The sequence below is a fragment of the Homo sapiens genome, chromosome 15 (genome assembly GCF_000001405.40).
Source record: "Homo sapiens chromosome 15, GRCh38.p14 Primary Assembly".
Lineage (NCBI taxonomy): Eukaryota > Metazoa > Chordata > Mammalia > Primates > Hominidae > Homo > Homo sapiens.
In genome coordinates this window covers 64,686,284-64,704,419 of record NC_000015.10, presented here as the reverse complement: position 1 = coordinate 64,704,419, position 18,136 = coordinate 64,686,284, and the positions used below count along the sequence as shown (strand labels likewise).

General features: G+C 47.9%; 1 protein-coding gene across 2 annotated transcripts, besides 4 other annotated features; it reads left to right on the top strand.

Moving 5' to 3' along the window:
• Positions 1,004–1,323: a silencer, noted in NCBI's record as "silent region_6537". NCBI's record gives its function as "represses an Ori minimal core promoter by ATAC-STARR-seq in GM12878 lymphoblastoid cells {active_cell/tissue: GM12878}" and the evidence as "EXISTENCE:reporter gene assay evidence [ECO:0000049][PMID:35858748]".
• On the top strand, positions 1,139–16,846 carry OAZ2 (ornithine decarboxylase antizyme 2). 2 transcript variants are annotated; one of them, NM_001301302.1, is given in 5 exon segments: positions 1,139–1,391; positions 12,832–12,986; positions 13,871–14,046; positions 15,251–15,336; positions 15,586–16,846. In NM_001301302.1, coding segments are annotated over 5 exon segments (567 nt in total). In that variant the 5' UTR covers positions 1,139–1,371; the 3' UTR covers positions 15,717–16,846.
• Positions 1,334–1,553: a silencer, noted in NCBI's record as "silent region_6536". NCBI's record gives its function as "represses an Ori minimal core promoter by ATAC-STARR-seq in GM12878 lymphoblastoid cells {active_cell/tissue: GM12878}" and the evidence as "EXISTENCE:reporter gene assay evidence [ECO:0000049][PMID:35858748]".
• Positions 3,182–4,019: an enhancer, noted in NCBI's record as "NANOG-H3K27ac-H3K4me1 hESC enhancer chr15:64992600-64993437 (GRCh37/hg19 assembly coordinates)". NCBI's record gives its function as "activates a minimal SCP1, AML or CMV promoter by ChIP-STARR-seq in primed H9 embryonic stem cells {active_cell/tissue: H9 hESC(primed)}" and the evidence as "EXISTENCE:reporter gene assay evidence [ECO:0000049][PMID:30033119]".
• Positions 4,020–4,856: an enhancer, noted in NCBI's record as "NANOG-H3K27ac-H3K4me1 hESC enhancer chr15:64991763-64992599 (GRCh37/hg19 assembly coordinates)". NCBI's record gives its function as "activates a minimal SCP1, AML or CMV promoter by ChIP-STARR-seq in naive H9 embryonic stem cells {active_cell/tissue: H9 hESC(naive)}" and the evidence as "EXISTENCE:reporter gene assay evidence [ECO:0000049][PMID:30033119]".
• Positions 16,847–18,136: the final 1,290 nt, after the last annotated feature.

Below are 18,136 nucleotides of genomic sequence, written 5' to 3'. Positions count from 1 at the left end.
AGTCAGGAGTTCAAGACCAGCTTGGGCAACATGGTGAAACCTCGTCTCTACTAAAAATACAAAAATTAGCCGGGCATGGTGGTACATGTCTGTAATCCCAGCTACTCAGGAGGCTGAGGCAGGAGAATCGCTTGAACCCGGGAGGTGGAGGTTGCAGTGAGCTGAGATTGTGCCACTGCACTCCAGCCTGGGCCACAGAGAGAGACTCCATCTCAAAAATAAGTAAATAAATAAAATAATTATTTGTTGAATAACTGAATGGATGTAATCTGAGGTGACAGAGTGACCCACTGTGATCTGAGATAATGTGACCTCTCTTGATTGCAATCTGGGTTGACTGTGAACAGAGTCGGGGCTTTTGATGATTGTGTTGAAGTGTCTGTGATTGTAACCTACAAGGACTGTGATCTGAGGGGTCTGCGCACCGGTGACTGTGGCCTTCAGGCACTAATCTGTCATAAGGACCAGTAGGGATAATGAATGGAGGTGACTGAACTAGTAACCTTGCATGATCGATTGAAGTAACTTGCACTGATTGTGATCTGAAGTGACCGTGAACAAGTTAGTGACGACGCTTTCCACGACTGTCTTGTTGTGACTGTGCTCATGATCTACAGAGTTCTGGCTTCAGATGACCTAAGCCAGTGCTTGGAGCAGCCTTGACGATTGACATGAGATGTGTGCGAGATGCTGAGATTGTTGATCTACCCTGACAGCTGAGGTTATTGATCTGCATTATGAGCTGAGATAACAGATCTGTGGGCCTGGACTCAGACTAGGAATGGTGCTAATATGTGTGTAGTTCTCTTAAGATTTCTGATTTTGTTTTAATATCCTCCCAAATGGCACAGCCCTGTTCGGCCCCACGCCAACAAGGAATAGGGATGAGGACCAGGTTGAGTCAATCCTCACAGAAAACTACCGGAAACACAACGCATCTTCTGGGCCGCGCTGCCGCAGCTGCGGGCAGACCCACCGCCTTGGTCATGGCCTCCTGCACAGCCTGCCCTTCGTTCGGACCCCCTAGCCCTACCCCCACGATCGGTCCGTGGTGCGCCTGCGCGGAGGCGGGGCGGTGCTTTGCCCTTTGTTGTGGGCCCCAGTTTCCCAGGACACCGCGCGGCGCTGGGGTGGGGCTATGCAGATGAGGCACTCGGGGGCGGGGCGGCGGCGGCGGCGGCGGCGGTGGCGGCCGGGGAGGGTCAGTTGGAGGCAGGCGCTCGCTGAGGCAAAAGGAGGCGCTCGGCCCGCGGCCTGACAGGGACTTAGCCCGCAGAGATCGACCCCGCGCGCGTGACCCCACACCCACCCACTCATCCATCTATCCACTCCCTGCGCCGCCTCCTCCCACCCTGAGCAGAGCCGCCGAGGATGATAAACACCCAGGACAGGTAACGGCCCGGCCCAGGCTCCCCGCCCCCATCCTCCCTCATCTGCTCCAGAGGGCCTCTCACGTACCCCTAGCCGGCCCCCGCCCCCCGCAGCGGGGCCATCCGCCCCCAGCCAGGTCCGTTCACCACTTCAGCCACCCTAGTCCGGTCCTCAGCCCTGCAACTGGGCCTTCTTCTGTCCTTTAGCCCCCTCTTCAGCCGGGCCCATCCCCCTCATCCGGGCCTTCTCCTCCCCTAAAGCCCCCAAAAGCCGGAACCCAACCTTCCAAGCAAGTCCCCTTTTTTCTTTCAGCCCCACCGAATTGTGCCCCATTCCCCAAACTGGGCTTTCCCCGGCATCCAGATTCCCCAAATTGTTTCCTGTCTTCCTCAAATCTTTCTTACTCCCCTTATAAGTCACTTCACCCTTCCCTTTGAATTCCCTCCCTGATGAAAACTGCACCCCCCACCCAGACTCTTCTCATATCACTGCCCCCCGCAAAGTCAACCTCCATCCTTCAGTTCTCAGTTTACCCCCACTCATCACCCTCCCCCCATTCTCTTCAGGCCTAGCAGTCCTTACACAGATGTCCAGCCTCTTCCTCCTGGTCCCATACTTCAGCTTCATCTTTCCCCCACCTTCCCCTCTCCACACCCCTCTCCCAGTTAGGCCCCATTTTCCCAGTCTCCCAGCGCCATTCCTTTTATTTATCAAACACCAGGTTTGATTCTTGTGCTCCATCCTGTTGCCCCAATGGTATACCCCCAACACTCTTGGAAACATTCTTACCCTCTAAACATCTTTTCTCAGCTGGAACTCATCCTTCTCCTTCCCCTCTTAACTGAATCCCGTCTTTGGATCATTAGATCACAGGACCCAGCCATCTCGCTTCCAGTGAACCTTCCCCCTGTACCTCCAGTGCCTTCAAACCAAGCTCTATATTCTGGACACTAGATCTTTGCAATTTCCTCCCTCAAAACCCGACCCTAGTCTTCCCCCATTAATTAGAGAAAGGCTGCACATCTTTCTCAGACCGAGCACCCTGGTTTTCCAAACTTGCATGGTATATCCTTCCCCCTGCAGATAGTTCCTCAATTTTCCTTTCTCTACATGCCTCTCTTTCTCCAAGACAACCCTTCTCACCTATCTCTCCCTCAAATTTTAATATATCCCATATTTCTGCCTCTGTTCTCTGAAACTGTTCCACAATTTCCTAATTCCCCGGAATTTTTAATCCTAGTTGCTCCTTATACATCAGAATGGCTTTCATTTACAATTTGGACCTAATTCTCTTCCTCATTTTTTCCCCAAACTTGTTGCTGTCCTGTCCAAACCGTGTCTGAAGCTCATTAGTTCCCCACACCAGACCTTTTGTCCCCAGATTTGGCCTTATGGCCTCTGCCTCTCACTTGGGCCTCATTATTTTGCAAGCAGATCCATTCCCTGTAAATCTTCCTTAAATTGGGCCATGTTCTATTCAGAATTAGACTAGTTCCTCTCAAATGCATTGCCTTCTTTATTGCTTTTCTTTGCATAGAGCCCTCTAACTGCCACTCAGGATTCCTCTCAAACTTGGGCACTCTTCTTACTGAAATAGTCTCTCAACTTTCCTTTCCCACTTGTTAACAGCACCAGCCTTAAATATTCCAACTGGGTTTTCAGCTTTTCTTGTATTTCAGTGTTTCTTACCCTGGCTTCACATTTGAGAAATCAGTCACTTGGGCCTTACCTTCAAAGATTGGTCTCATTGGCCTAGAGTGTCCTGATTATTAGCATATAGTTTTAAAGCTCCCCAGGTAATTCTTTATAATGCAAAGCTGGGGTTAAAAACCACAGCTTCCTTCCTGCAGCTTTTCCCATCCTATTCCTGTAGTGGGTGTCAGCCCTTTTCTACTGACAAAGGCCTAATTTTCTTCGAGGAATATTTTTTTTTTTTTTTTTTTTTGAGACAGGGTCTCACTCTGTGGCGCAGGCTGGAGTGCAGTGGTGCGATCTGGGCTCACTGCAACCTCTGCCTCCTGGGCTCAATTTCTTCAGGGATTTCTTAGTCTTTCTCTCTCAGGTGCTGTCCAGAAGTGCCCAAGATACAATACCTGCAACAGCTTCTGAAGTTCCTGTCTGTACTCAGTTCTCAGCCATTGGCCATTTTCTTCCCCCAAGTCTCAGACTCTTAACTGGTGCCCTCCCCCTCATTTCTTCTTTGCATGCAGGAAGAAAATTCACTCGCCGTTTGATAATTTGTTATGGTCTTATTTGACCTGTTATCCCTGCCTCCCATGTTCTCTTTACCCTACAACCCATCAGCTGTTAGAGTTTCCTTTTCCAAGACTCTCCATGTCCATCCCCTCTGCATTCCCCCCTTTCACTCCATCTTCTGTAACCCAGCCCCTCGGGAGCTGAGGAGGTGGAGGCGGATATAGACACGGAGAGTGCTGGATGCAAAGGTGTTACTTGTGGCAAAGGCGCCGTGTGTGCTGAGGATAGATGGCAGGTATGAGAGAGGGCAGGATGAAGCACAGGGGTGGAGGGGAGCAGAGAGACCTACAACAAAACCCACTCAAGGGGTATGTGAGATAGACTTTTTTTTCTGTTCTTTTTGTGTGTCTGTAGTGGGGGTTGGAAAGTGGGGTGGTCTCAGCAGTCATTCTCTGGAGTCCTCTGGACTGAGCTGGTCGAAATGCCGAGTCTTTTGTAGGCTGAGCCCTGAGAGTTGAGCAACTTGGAACCAACATGTAAGAGTCTTCACCAACTGTGAGGTTGAAAGACCTGAGTTCTGGCTGAGCCAGTGTGCTTACATGTGAAAAGAAGAGGGGGTTGGGTTAACTTGACTCGAAAATTCTTTCCAGCTTCCTAAGTGGCAAAACAGGCTTGCTTGTCTCCAGGGCCCTTGCTTAGCGTGTTGGTAATTTGAGGGGCCTGGCTGTATGAGAGGCAGGTGGAGAGAGGAGCCAACTGGCCTGCCAGGGCCTGGGTAGGAGCTAGGCCTTGGATCAGGCTCCTCCACTTGGCCTGGGGGTGGGGTGTTGTGTGCAGGGTGTCTGGTTTCTTTGAGTGATGGCAATCCCATTTCCATAGCGTGTTTCCTAGATTCCTTGGGCCTGCCCCTAACTTTCTAAAAGGAATCCTGGTAGAGTCCTAACTAGGGATTCTGATAAGAGCCGGATGTTCTTCCCAGTCAGTGTTCTCGAGTGTTTCATATCCATAGAGTGGGGAGCTGGCTGGGAATTTAGCTCCCATTGGGTGGGGGATGGGATTTTCAGCTTCCCTGGCTCCAGTGAAAAACTCAGGAGGTGGAGGCTTGGTTTCCTGGAAGAAATAGTTGCAGAGGAGCTGGCACTATGTTTTGAAAACAAGGCTCTTCCTTTCCAGTGTTATTCTGATTGGTACTTCCAAAATGTCAGAATTCCTGATGGTGGGGGAGGGAAGAAGATACAAGTACGAGCACCTTTATTATCCTTTTTGAACATGAGGTTTAAATCCAAGGAAATCAAGCTTCCTGGTCTTTTTCTCCCTGGATTTGTGGGGGCAGGGAGACAGTATCTGTCCAGGGCTTGCTTTGTACCTGTGACAGTACAGTATGTAGAGAAGCACTAGCCCTGGCTTGATAGTGATATTATTATCAATCTGTGCTGATGGGCTTTGAGGAGAAACATTTGGTTCTGCAGGTGGTTTTTTGGGGGAAGGGGGCAGGGCATAAGAACATATCAGAACTATCAGCATCTTCACTGAGTGGTTTCCTGGGTAATGGAATTTCTGTCTCTTCCTAAAGGGTCTGGTTTCAGTTATTCCTTATTTATTGACAATATGGCTTGTTGGGCATGGGGTGGTAGGGAGAGCCAGTTTTCCAATGATGTGCCTTCAAGGTCACTCTATGGTAGGAGGGTTGGGGGAGAGGAGAGAGGGGAGAGAGAGAGGAGAGAGTCAAAGAGGAGAGAGAGAGAGACAGACACAGACTCTCCTAGTATAGTCAGGAATCCCCCAAAATCAGAGCTATGCTTCAGAAAGCAGTGTGGGCTAATAATAGCAATTCCTCACTCTGCCAAGAAATCCAAATTTAGCCTCAGAGCTGCTCAAAAATATAAAAAAGGGGACTGAGGAGTGGGATAGAGGGATGTTACAAATGTGCATTTCTAGAAAAACAAAATGAGTAATTCATCCCTTTTTGAAAGAGTATGCAGTGTTGATTCAAGTTGGTGCCATGATTTAGAAGGTTATGAAGCCAAAGTTACAGACCAGGCCAGGCATGGTGGCTCACACCTGTAATCCCAGCACTTTGGGAGGCTGAGACGATTGCTTGAGCCCAGGAGTTCAAGACCAGCCTGGGCAACATAGTGAGATGCCCCATCTCTTAAAAAAAAAAAAAAAAGTTATAGACAAGAAAGGGACAAGTAGGCAGGCAAGAATTTTGTCACTTAAAGTGAACAAAACAGGTAGTGTCCGGTTAGCAGCAGTAGTGTAAAATGCTTTGTATAAGATAAACCTTAAGAAAATTTCTTAGTCCTTTGATACTATATAAACAATGATGTAATTCTGTCCTGGGAAGAGGCTGGCACTGTGTGATGACCTTACTCTGCAAACTAGATTGAGGTACTTAATATGTAAAAGTAAAGTCTTATATTAAAGCTTGATTACCTAGCTATCCACTCACCTCTGGTAGCATATGTGATTGTGCGTTCCTTTGGCATATGTACCAATATCAGCTGTGTGATAAGCAAACCCCAAAGGCACAGATATTCTAGCTATCACTATAACTGTGTTTCTTGTGGAGAATCAACCAAAACCCAATTTTGCTTTCAGCCTGTGATTCAGAGTGGTGATGTCATTTTCTTTATAATTGTGCTTAGCAAGAAGAGTCCCTGTGGAACGCAGAATAGCCCTAGTGAAATGACTTTTGCCTGGCATCTGCCCAGGGGCCCTTTCTCAGATGGAAGGGGCATCGGTAGCTGGAAATCAGCCTCTACAGCCACACTAGACTGGAGGTGGTCATCACCCTCTCACCTTTCTTACTTTCTATTTTGCTAAGTGATGGCACATCTTTTTGCGTAGGGATTAGTCATCAAAGACATTCCTAGTCTCAGAGTAAAAGCTACCTGTATGAGGGAAGTGAGGGCACCTTTGGGTGTTCTATGAGGCAGGGCCTGAGACAAGAATGGGTCAGAAGAGGTTGAGAGGGGGAAATGAATGTAGAACTGTGTTGGGAATGTGGTTTTCATGTCTTCAATTGATACCAAAAGGTAGCTAATACCAAGGCCATCTGACTTTCTCTGACAGGTAATAGAAACCAGAGAGAAAGGGTGCAGAATTGAATGAGCGAAGGAGGCTACTGATTCAAGTGAAACATGATCAGAAGTATATTAAGGAGAATTTGAATTCAAGTATTTTTTAGATGTAGCTAAGTGGAAGTTACTCACAGAATTACTTTTATATGGAATCTCTTCTCTGTGTACTCTGTACTCTTTTGGTAGCCATCTGTGGGGGATTGCTTTCAGGACCTTCCCCTTACCAAAATCCAAGGGTCCATTATATAAAATAGTGTAGTATTTACATATAACCTACATATATCTTCCCATATACTTTAAATTATCTCTAGATTACTTATAATGCATAACACAATGTAAATGCTATGTAAATAGTTTTAGTGCTCTTTTTATTTGTACTTTTTTTTATTATGCTGTTGTTTATTTTTTTCCTGAGTATTTTTGATCCATGGTTGGTCAAATCCACGAATGTGGAACCTGTGGATATAGAGGACCAACTGTATGTAAATCAAAACTGACTAAAGACAGCTGGAAGTAATTTTTTTTTTTTTTTTTTTGAGGCAGAGTCTCGCTCTTTTGCCAGGCTGGAGTGCAGTGGTGCAGTCTTGGCTCACTGCAACCTCTGCCTCCCGTGTTCAAGCGATTCTGCTGCCTCAGCCTCCCAAGTAGCTGGGACTACGGGCGTGTACCACCACGCCCAGCTAATTTTTGTATTTTTAGTAGAGACGGGGTTTCATCATGTTGGCCAGGATGGTCTTGATCTCCTGACTTTGTGATCTGCCTGCCTCTGCCTTCCAAAGTGCTGGGATTACAGGCGTGAGCCACTGCGCCCGGCTGGAAGTGATTCTTTAACAGAAGATCCTTTACTTTTATCAAGAGACTTAAGGTTAATTCTAAATAGTAAGTACCCTAGAGATTTAGAAATAGCATTTGAATTATAAAAATTTTATTTACCATCATCATTGCCCAGCTGTACATCTGCTGCATACGCTGCCTGTCTGTAGTCAGTGTGTGAAATTGTAACCTGCTAAGGGCATTTCAGACAACAGTTTCACAGACACTTTAAATTAGAGGCAGCAGGATGTGATATGTTAGTAGCACTCATATGTATTCTGAGGAGTGTTTCCAAGGGCATGTCCTATCACTGAGAAAATAAAAGGCACTAACAGATTGGCTCTAATCTTCCATCTCTCTTCCGAATTGCCTTGTATGCTGGATACCTGACACCTTAGTTTCTGGCATGGGATATATGTATTTTTTTCTCTTCCAAAGCAGGACCAGCCCAGCTGGATGTTTGGGTTCGGTCTGATACATTTGATTTTCCTTAATCAGCCTGATCTTTTCAGCCTCTGAAAAGGACTGAGATTCTTTTTTTTTTTTTTTGAGACAGTCTCGCTCTGTCACCCAGGCTGGAGTGCAGTGGCACGATCTCAGCTCACTGCAACCTCCGCCTCCCTGGTTCAAGCAATTCTCCTACCTCAGCCTCCCAAAGTGCTGGGATTACAGGGATGAGCCACCATGCCCAGCCTGTTTCTTAAATCATCCTTTAGGTGGTTGAGATTAAACAATGCCTGCCCTCAAGTGGTGTGACCAGGAGGTGAGGAAGGATTGGAAAAAGCTGGGGATAGGAGCCAGTTAGAAACAAGACTAAACTGAATATGAAACCCAACCTGGTTTGGATCTTATGATAGGAAGACTTGTGTTTAGAAGTCACTGTCTGTTGTGCTTAAATTCTTCCAGGATTCATTATTCCTAATGAGCTTGGTGGCGTAGCTTCAATACCATTTGAACACTAAAGCCATTATCAGAAGAGAAGGCCATTACTGGGTAATTTCATGCCCCTTAATGTCTTTAACTACCACATACGTACCCATCCCCCTTCCTTTCTCACTTCAGAAATGACAGGTTTTTTGGAAGAGAAGCAATTTGCCATTCACAGCAAGTAACTAATAACAGATGCTTTATGTGGACGATGAAGATAATTATTGTGATCTACTGTCTACTAAACTTATCGCAAACCCCAGCTGTTTCTTTTAGGGAACTGGAACTAGTTCCCAGAGTGGGGGCTTGAAACACCCCTCCACCCCCACTCACACACACACTTGCTTATCTGCGCAGATTTATGGGGGAGGAGCAGAGAGCCTCCAGGATCCTTGTATGTGAGAATGGGGAAGTAAATGACATGTTACCATGGCGTAGATATCTTGCGTTTATTTGAAGAGGAGAGAGATCAGGAAACCAGAAATATCACAAGCCCCACTGCTAAATATGACTAGCTTAAAGAAAGAAATATCACAAGCTCATAGATTAGTGCTGGACACAGGGCAGGCAGGCTCCAGGGATTACTTCTAGGAAGACAAAGGGTATTATGGTCTAAAAAAAAATCCTCACTTTATTCTTGTCTTTTCAGTGAGTTGGCCCATTGCTTCTGCTGTTTGCAAGTAAAAATTAGCTAAGAATCAAGATGGTAGTTGGGATGCAGGGCAGAGGTTGAATGCAGCTCGCTCATCTAAAGACCATTTGAGGAATAATTCCTTTGGAAGTAGGAGCCTGGCACCAGAATTCTAGAATTGCAAGGGCTTGGTGATTGATAGGGTTATTTTGTGAACCTAATTAATTCTCTGTATACAAGATGATAATCTGTCTATCCCAGAGGGGTTTGCCCCATCTTTGGGTAGCTCCACTGACCAATAGAAGCAAACCAGCTTTCTCCCGTGGTCCAGCCCTCCTTATGCCCCTGCAGGAACCTCAGCACAGAGAAGTGATCATTGGGGAATGAGAACGGAATCATATGATGTGGTGCATGTGTGTGCATTTGCTTGGGGAAACTCCCCTCACCAAACTCTTGTCTTATTTTTTCTAGTCTGGACACTGTTATTCTGCCCCTTAACACATTGGAAGGGGGAATCACAATAGCTCATTGTCCCCAGCAGAAAATAACTCCTGTCCTTGAAAACAGTAGCATAGTCCTCTGTTAAGCCCTTTCTGTTTTTTTGTTTGTTTTTGTTTTTTTGAGACAGAGTTTTGCTCTTGTTGCTCCGGCTGGAGTGCAGTGGCGTGGTCTTGGCTCACTGCAACCTCCACCTCCCGGGTTCAAGCGATTCTCCTGCTTCGGCCTCCTTAGTAGTTGGGACTACAGGCACGCTCCACCACACCCGGCTAATTTTTGTGTTTTCAGTAGAGACGGGGTTTCACCATGTTGGCCAAGCTGGTCTCAAACTCCTGACCTCAGGTGATCCATCCACTTTGGCCTCCCAAACTGCTGGGATTACAGGCGTGAGCCACCACGCCTGGCCGTTTTTGTTTTGAGCTGAAGTTTCGCTCTGTCATCCAGGCTGGAGTGCAGTGGCACAATCTTGGCTCACTGCAGCCTCCACCTCCCAGGTTCAAGTGATTCTCCTGCATCAGCCTCCTGAGTAGGTGGGTCTACAGGTGCACACCACCACACCCGGCTAATTTTTTTGTATTTTTAGTAGAGATGGGGTTTCACCATATTGGCCAGGCTGCTCTCAAACTCCTGACTTCAAGTGATCCACCCGTCTCTGTCTCCCAAAGTGTTGGGATTACAGGCATGAGCCACTGCGCCCAGTTCAGCCTTTTCTGTTAACAGCTGTTGATGAGGCCGAGAGTGGAGGAGGTGAGGATGACCTGAGGTTTTCCAGAGGAGGGAAGAGGTAGATATGTGGTTACACCCCTAGATTTTTTTTTTTTTTTTTTGGGGGGGAGGAATCTGGCTCTGTCACCCAGGCTAGAGTGTAGTGGCACAATCTCGGCTAACTGCAGCCTCCACCTCCTGGGTTCAAGAAATTCTTCTGCCTCAGGCTTTTGAGTACCTGGCATTACAGGCACCTGCCACCACGCCCGGCTAATTTTTGTACTTTTAGTAGAGGTGGGGTTTCGCCATGTTGGCCAGGCTGGTCTTGAACTCCTGAGCTCAAGTGATCCTCCCTCCTCGGCCTCCCAAAGTGCACCCCTAGATACTGATGCTGCTCCTCACCCATGGACACTTCCCTGGGAAATCCATTTCTCAAAGAAATTTCCAAGTATACTTGTAGGCCCCCAGTTGAAATCTTTGAGAGAACAGACCCTAGGAGCTGAGCAGTGACGGGTTTGGACTTGCATTTTCAGCTGGAGTGCAGATACAGTTCTGCTAATAGGACTGCCCCTTTGGTTACTGTACCATTGCCATGTTAGGTGTGAATTCAGTTTTGTTGCTCTTCATTTAGAAGAATCCAAAATTGGCATGCCATGCTATATAAAGCAAAGGACAGTGTGAAGAATAGTTACCTCACACCGTTTTACAATGGCTTTCAGGGAAAAAAAAGCCCTGACTTACAGCATTTGGGGACTTTCGCAGTGTAAATACTCCTCCTTTGGCCAATTCAGGCTACCAACATGACATCATTAAACACATATTTGGCAAGAGATGTGCACGATTGTGTGAGCTGGCCCCAGCACACCACTGCAATACCCGCTAAATGTATCCAGTGCATTCCAGCTGCTCTGAGGCTGATGTGTGGTGGCTGGGGAACAGGCCTGTTGCTGAGTCGTGGTGTGTACACACACACACAATTTACCTCCTTCTCTGTTTCACTTGCCCTTGGCCTAGGGAATGAACTACATCTCAGTCTAAGGAACCACTAAATTGGATTCAAAGACAGTTGAGCAGATCTACAGCCCTGTTGGGTCCATCCGAAAATCAAGGTGGCCAGTAAGGTGACAGCTCTTTTAGGAGCCTTTTACCTGCTATAATCTGTCTGATTATTGGATTCTTTACTCAGGTCATAGCACGTATCCTCCTCTCCCAGCACATAGCCTGCACCCAGCACATCTGAGTGTGTGTTCTGACCACATCACTATTATGTGACCTCCCACGCTCAGGTCACGAAAGGATCAGCAAAGAAGGGCAAGAAGGCCCAGCATTTGGTGCATACCAGGGGCAAATCAGACATCACAGTATTCTATGTACTATTGTGTACCTCTGCTCTGGGAGCCAAATCCCTGGATTTAGTTTTATTCTTAACCATTGAGGGATTTGGTTAAATGATTTCTCACTCCAGCTGGGTGTGGTGGCTCATGCCTGTAATCCCAGCACTTTGGGAGGCTGAGGCCAGCGGATCACTGGAGGTCAGGAGTTCCAGACCAGCCTGACCAACATGGTGAAACCCTGTCTCTACTAAAAAATACAAAATTAGCCAGGCGTGGTGGCGCATGCCTGTAATCCCAGCTACTTGGGAGGCTGAGGCAGGAGAATCACTTGAACCTGGGAGGCAGAGGTTGCAGTGAGCCAAGTGCGTACCACTGCACTCCAGCCTGGGAAACGAGTGAAACTCTGTCTCAAAAAAAAAAAAAAAAAAAAAAAGTTTCTCACCCCAGTTCCTTTGCTCAGAAGGGGGATGGGGCCATCACTGGGGAAGTAGCCTTGAGAGTTCCTCAGGAACAGGGTACCCAGACCATATGACTTCCCCTCTCCAGCCTGTAACTGTGGGCCTTTTTGATTCTGCCACATAGGTGGTTGAGGCACCATAGGGAAATGAAAAGAGACTGGCACAGGGTTTGAGGCTTGGCAGGTAAGCCAGGACCTGGTGATTTCCAAGGTCTGCCCAGTGCCACAGTGATTTGTTAGAAGATTGCTAGGTGCTCCTCCGGTCAAATAAACCCAGCTGGAGTCCCTTGGCCCTCCTGAGACTTCCTCCCCATGACTTTGCAACACGGTGGGTTCCCCTTAAGACAGCAGCGTAGTTCTGGAAGCTGAAGCCCACAGGACTGGGGCAGCTGGGAGCGTTCATAAGCCTTCCCTTGTTTAGAGAGAGCCAGGATGGGGTGGGGGTGGGATTTGAGTTATATCTTTACATCTTGGCCGGGCGCAGTGGCTCACGCCTATAGTCCTAGCACTTCGGGAGGCTGAGGTGGGTGGATCATGAGGTCGGGAGTTCGAGACCAGCCTGGCCAACATGGTGAAACCCCATCTCTACTAAAAATAGAAAAATTAGCTGGGCATGGTGGCGTGCACCTGAAATCCCAGCTGCTCGGGAGGCTGAGACAGGAGAATCGCTTGAGCTTGGGAGGTGGAGGTTGCAGTGAGCCGAGATCGTGCCACTGCACTCCAGCCTGGGCGACAGAGCGAGACTCCGCCTCAAAAAAAAAAAAAATCGTCAAGTCTTGGTGTTTACTGTCTCACCCTCTCTGTCTCTTGCAGTAGTATTTTGCCTTTGAGTAACTGTCCCCAGCTCCAGTGCTGCAGGCACATTGTTCCAGGGCCTCTGTGGTGCTCCTGATGCCCCTCACCCACTGTCGAAGATCCCCGGTGGGCGAGGGGGCGGCAGGGATCCTTCTCTCTCAGCTCTAATATATAAGGTAAGGAGGACCCTGGGATGGAAGGCTGGGGTTGGAGCTTTCTCAGACTCCACTGTGCTGCTGCTCAAGGGGAATAATCACTTTCTTAGTCTTCTGGCTCTTAGCCTAGGCCAGTGGGGGGACTGTGAAGGACTCTTTCAGCTGAGGCTGTTGCATGGCTTATTGGGAATACTAGAGGAGAGATATCAGCACCATTTGTTGCCTTTTAATCTGCTGTAATTGAGGCCCAGAAGTTAGTTTAGCTTCTCACTAAGACTGGGATGGAAGGTTAGCAAGGCAGCTGAATTCTGGGCTTTTGAGATTGTGCCCAAGGGAGATAACACGGACCCTGCAGTCCACTTGGAATCAGACTTTGGCTGACTGGGGCTCCAGCCAAACCCTCATACATACCCTCATTTGTTTTTGGTATTTCCCTTTCTGACAGGGAAGGAAAAGAACATGGTGTTGGGGGAAAGCGTGGGCTTTCGAGTCAGGGAGACCTGGGTTTGAATCTCATCTCTGCCATTCACTGTCTTTGGAGCCTTGGGTCAGTTGCTTCATTATTCTCAGACTTAAAGTGGAGTTGTTAATTACCATCTCAAGTGCTTGTCATGATGATAAAGGTAATATATGGGACAGCACTTTGTACTTGGCACCTAGTGGACAATTTAGGTAAATATTTCCCTTTCTGTTTTGCTAGCTTTTACCACCATCAACTGGTCTTAGTGCCTGGTGAGTGACAGCTCCTTTTAGCCATCATGAAGCTCTGCGTTTTCAGCATGGCCTCTATCCCACGCTACCCTGACACTGGCCTAAGGGGACTCCCAGCATCGCCTAGATTAGGGAGTGGATGATATGGCCAGAAGCAGTAGTGACCTGGTCCTCTGCCCTGCTTTCCTTCCCAGGACGAGAAGCTCACTGTGACCCAGGACCTCCCTGTGAATGATGGAAAACCTCACATCGTCCACTTCCAGTATGAGGTCACCGAGGTGAAGGTCTCTTCTTGGGATGCAGTCCTGTCCAGCCAGAGCCTGTTTGTAGAAATCCCAGATGGATTATTAGCTGATGGGAGCAAAGAAGGGTAAAGAGCCAAATGCTGGGGAGGGAAAGGAGGTCCCATTCCAGAGAAGAGTATATGTTTACTGTGGGTAACAGAATTGTAGGGGAGTCTGTGCCTTCTCCCTTAGCTCTAGACTCCCCAAGCAGATACCGTTTTGTAACAGGTTATTTTTAGCCAGTAAGACAGGCCTGCTCTAGGTTATAATTAAAGCAGATTGTTATCACATTAACCAAATGCCTGCCGGTTAATCGCCCCATGGTTCACTCTGACACTAAATCCCCCTGTAGCTACACAGTACTGTAGTTTAAAAGGCTAGGAAGCAAAAAGAAGTACTTAGGCCCATCACCACCTTCCTAGACCTCCCTCCCATTCACACCCCACCCAGGAAGCTCAGAGGTAAGTGGGATTTCATTGGATTGGGCAAAGACCCTCCAAGCAGCCAAGATGGGTAAGAAATGTCCTGAGGACAGAGTTCCTGAGTGGTCCCAGCCTCTTGAGAAAATCCTTTTAGGCAGTGTTAGAGCCCAGAGTGTCCCTCTCAGTGGCAGGTGATCATATCAGACTTGGCAATCTGTGGGACACCTGAAGAACTGGGTTTTCTTTCTAGGCCCCAGACTCTGTCTTGTGGACAGCATTAGTTAAGATGGGTAGTGTTACTTTCAGATCTCCTATTGCAGGAAGAGAAAAGTTAGTAACATTTTTCTCAGGCGCTGTGGCTTTTTTTTTTTTTTTTTCCAAAATTCAAGGCTCTTGGGGTCTTGACATAGGAATCTTCCTCCTGGAGCTTCTGAATTTTTTTTTTTTTTGAGATGGAGGCTCACTCTGTCGCCCAGGCTGGAGTGGAGTGGTGCGATCTCGGCTCACTGCAAGCTCCGTCTCCCAGGTTCATGCCATTCTCCTGCCTCAGCCTCCCGAGTAGCTGGGACTACAGGCGCCCACCACCACGCCCGGCTAGTTTTTTGTATTTTTAGTAGAGATGGGGTTTCACCGTGTTAGCCAGGATGGTCTTGATCTCCTGACCTCGTGATCCACCTGCCTCGGCCTCCCAAAGTGCTGGGATTACAGGTGTGAGCCACTGTGCCCAGCCCAGAGCTTCTGTATTTATATTGCTGGTTGTAGGCCTCAGAAAAGCCTTTGGGTTGGTAGGGGTGGGGGTGGGGTGTGAATGGGAGGGAGGTCTAGGAAGGTGGTGATGGGCCTAAGTACTTCTCTTTGCTTCCTGCAGATTGTTAGCACTGCTAGAGTTTGCTGAAGAGAAGATGAAAGTGAACTATGTCTTCATCTGCTTCAGGAAGGGCCGAGAAGACAGAGGTGAGGAGTCAGAGTGGCCTGAGCCTTACAGCCCAGACAGTGGGGCCTGGGGGAGAGAAGGGAGCACCTCCAGGATGAGGTGGGACTCTTGAATTTGCCTTTCAAACCCTGGGAAATCATGGCAGGAGGGCAAGTGCCTGAAGGGCTCGTAAAAGCCTAGTGCTTATTTGTTCCATCTTTGTTTGGGGTTTTGATTTCAGCCTACCATTGTGTTTCTCATCAGACTTTTTTACACTCTGTCTTCTGCAGCTCCACTCCTGAAGACCTTCAGCTTCTTGGGCTTTGAGATTGTACGTCCAGGCCATCCCTGTGTCCCCTCTCGGCCAGATGTGATGTTCATGGTTTATCCCCTGGACCAGAACTTGTCCGATGAGGACTAATAGTCATAGAGGATGCTTTACCCAAGAGCCACAGTGGGGGAAGAGGGGAAGTTAGGCAGCCCTGGGACAGACGAGAGGGCTCCTCGCTGTCTAGGGAAGGACACTGAGGGGCTCAGGGTGAGGGTTGCCTATTGTGTTCTCGGAGTTGACTCGTTGAAATTGTTTTCCATAAAGAACAGTATAAACATATTATTCACATGTAATCACCAATAGTAAATGAAGATGTTTATGAACTGGCATTAGAAGCTTTCTAAACTGCGCTGTGTGATGTGTTCTATCTAGCCTAGGGGAGGACATTGCCTAGAGGGGGAGGGACTGTCTGGGTTCAGGGGCATGGCCTGGAGGGCTGGTGGGCAGCACTGTCAGGCTCAGGTTTCCCTGCTGTTGGCTTTCTGTTTTGGTTATTAAGACTTGTGTATTTTCTTTCTTTGCTTCCTGTCACCCCAGGGGCTCCTGAGTATAGGCTTTTCAGTCCCTGGGCAGTGTCCTTGAGTTGTTTTTTGACACTCTTACCTGGGCTTCTCTGTGTGCATTTGCGTCTGGCCTGGAGTAAGCAGGTCCGACCCCTCCTTCTTTACAGCTTAGTGTTATTCTGGCATTTGGTTAAGCTGGCTTAATCTGTTTAATGTTATCAGTACATTTTAAATAGGGGCATTGAAATTTACTCCCACCACCAGGGCTTTTTTGGGGGATGCCTGGGCCTTTAAAACACTAGCCAAACTCTAATTAATTCTCAAATCACTGCCAGGAGTTCTTGCTCCTGGCTGCAGGCCCAGGCCCCAAGGTCTCCTTCTTGGGGTCACAAACAGCAGTAAGGAAGAGGAATATATAGCAACTCAGGGCCTGGGAATTGTGGGGCAATCCGTTCTTAGGGACTGGATACTTCTGGCTGGCTGAGTATAGTACTAGCTGCCTCCCCACCAGGTTCCGAGTAGTGTCTGAGACTCTGCTCTGCAGGGCCTAGGGTAGCGCTGGGAGTGTAGAAGTGGCCTGCCCTTAACTGTTTTCACTAAACAGCTTTTTCTAAGGGGAGAGCAAGGGGGAGAGATCTAGATTGGGTGAGGGGGACGGGGATGTCAGGGAGGCAAGTGTGTTGTGTTACTGTGTCAATAAACTGATTTAAAGTTGTGGTTGGTCTATTCTTTATTTCTGAACTAGGACCAACTCCCTACCAAACTGTTTTGACTCCAGAGCCTAATAAATAGAGGTGTGGTGCGTGCTCCTTGGGAAAAAAACTGCAGTGTAGGAGGGCAGATAAACTGGCTGAGGTCTCTCTCTGGGGCCATATTACACTGTGAAATGCGGGGTTGCTAGGAGTCTGAGACTTACTGCCAGAGCCCCCTGGAGAGAGATGTGTACATATCAGCTTCATCTAGGAGAGGCTATACCCAAGATCCAATCTGCTCTTAGCTCTTCCTTTTCTGTAAAAGGCTGGGGAGGTTGGGTCCTGATACTGGGTTTTGGCTTTTGCATGGAGCTCCTGACATTCCCATTCCTGAGGTCTTTGAAGGATGCAGCACACACCTTCCCTGTTCTAGTTTTCCCCTTTTGGAGCTCAGTGTCCTAAGGTGTGGCTTCCAGTCCCCCACACCACAGCCTGATGAATAAGCTCTCAGTGGTACCAAGGGGGCTGGAATCCTCTTCACCACAGTTTTTTTAATTTCTCAAGGATTTACTGGCACTTTTTTTCTTTTGCTTCTGTTTTGCCAATTGAAGGGCATGTTCTTCCACCTACATTTTTGCAACTGTCTACTGTTAAGCTGTGGCTCTCACATTGCTCTTTATGGAGCCTGCTTGTGTTTTCACTGTGGGCCAAGTCATTTATCTTGGACTCTAACTTGTATTCATTAAAAGTAATGAGCTCGAATCCCAAGTTTTTTTTTGTTTTTGTTTTTTTCATGGAATCTCGCTCTGTCGCCCAGGCTGGAGTGCAGTGGTGTAATCTCAGCTCACTGCAACCTCCGCCTCCTGGGTTCAGGTGATTATCCTGTCTCAGCCTCCTGAGTAGCTGGGATTACAGATGCCCACCATCACACTCAGCTAATTTTTTGTATTTTCAGTAGAGACAGGGTTTTGCCATGTTGCCCGGGCTGGTCTCGAACTCCTGGCCTCAAGTGATTCCCACGCTTCGGCCTCGCCAAGTGTTGGGATTACAGGCGTGAGCCACCGTGCCTGGCAAATGTTATTAGAGCAAGTCTGGGACTAGAGACATTCCGTTGAAATCAAGTGTCCCCCACTGGGCAGGTAATTCCTAGAGGCAGCTGGCAGTTTAGGATGCAGATATTAAACAAACACAAGGAATCGACAAGACAGATGAAAAAGAACCAAGACAAAACTCAGTCCCTTACTTTTTCCCAAGAAACATGCTTGAGATTCTGCTGCCACCTATTGGTGATTCCTCTTCAATACGGCTAGAGTCA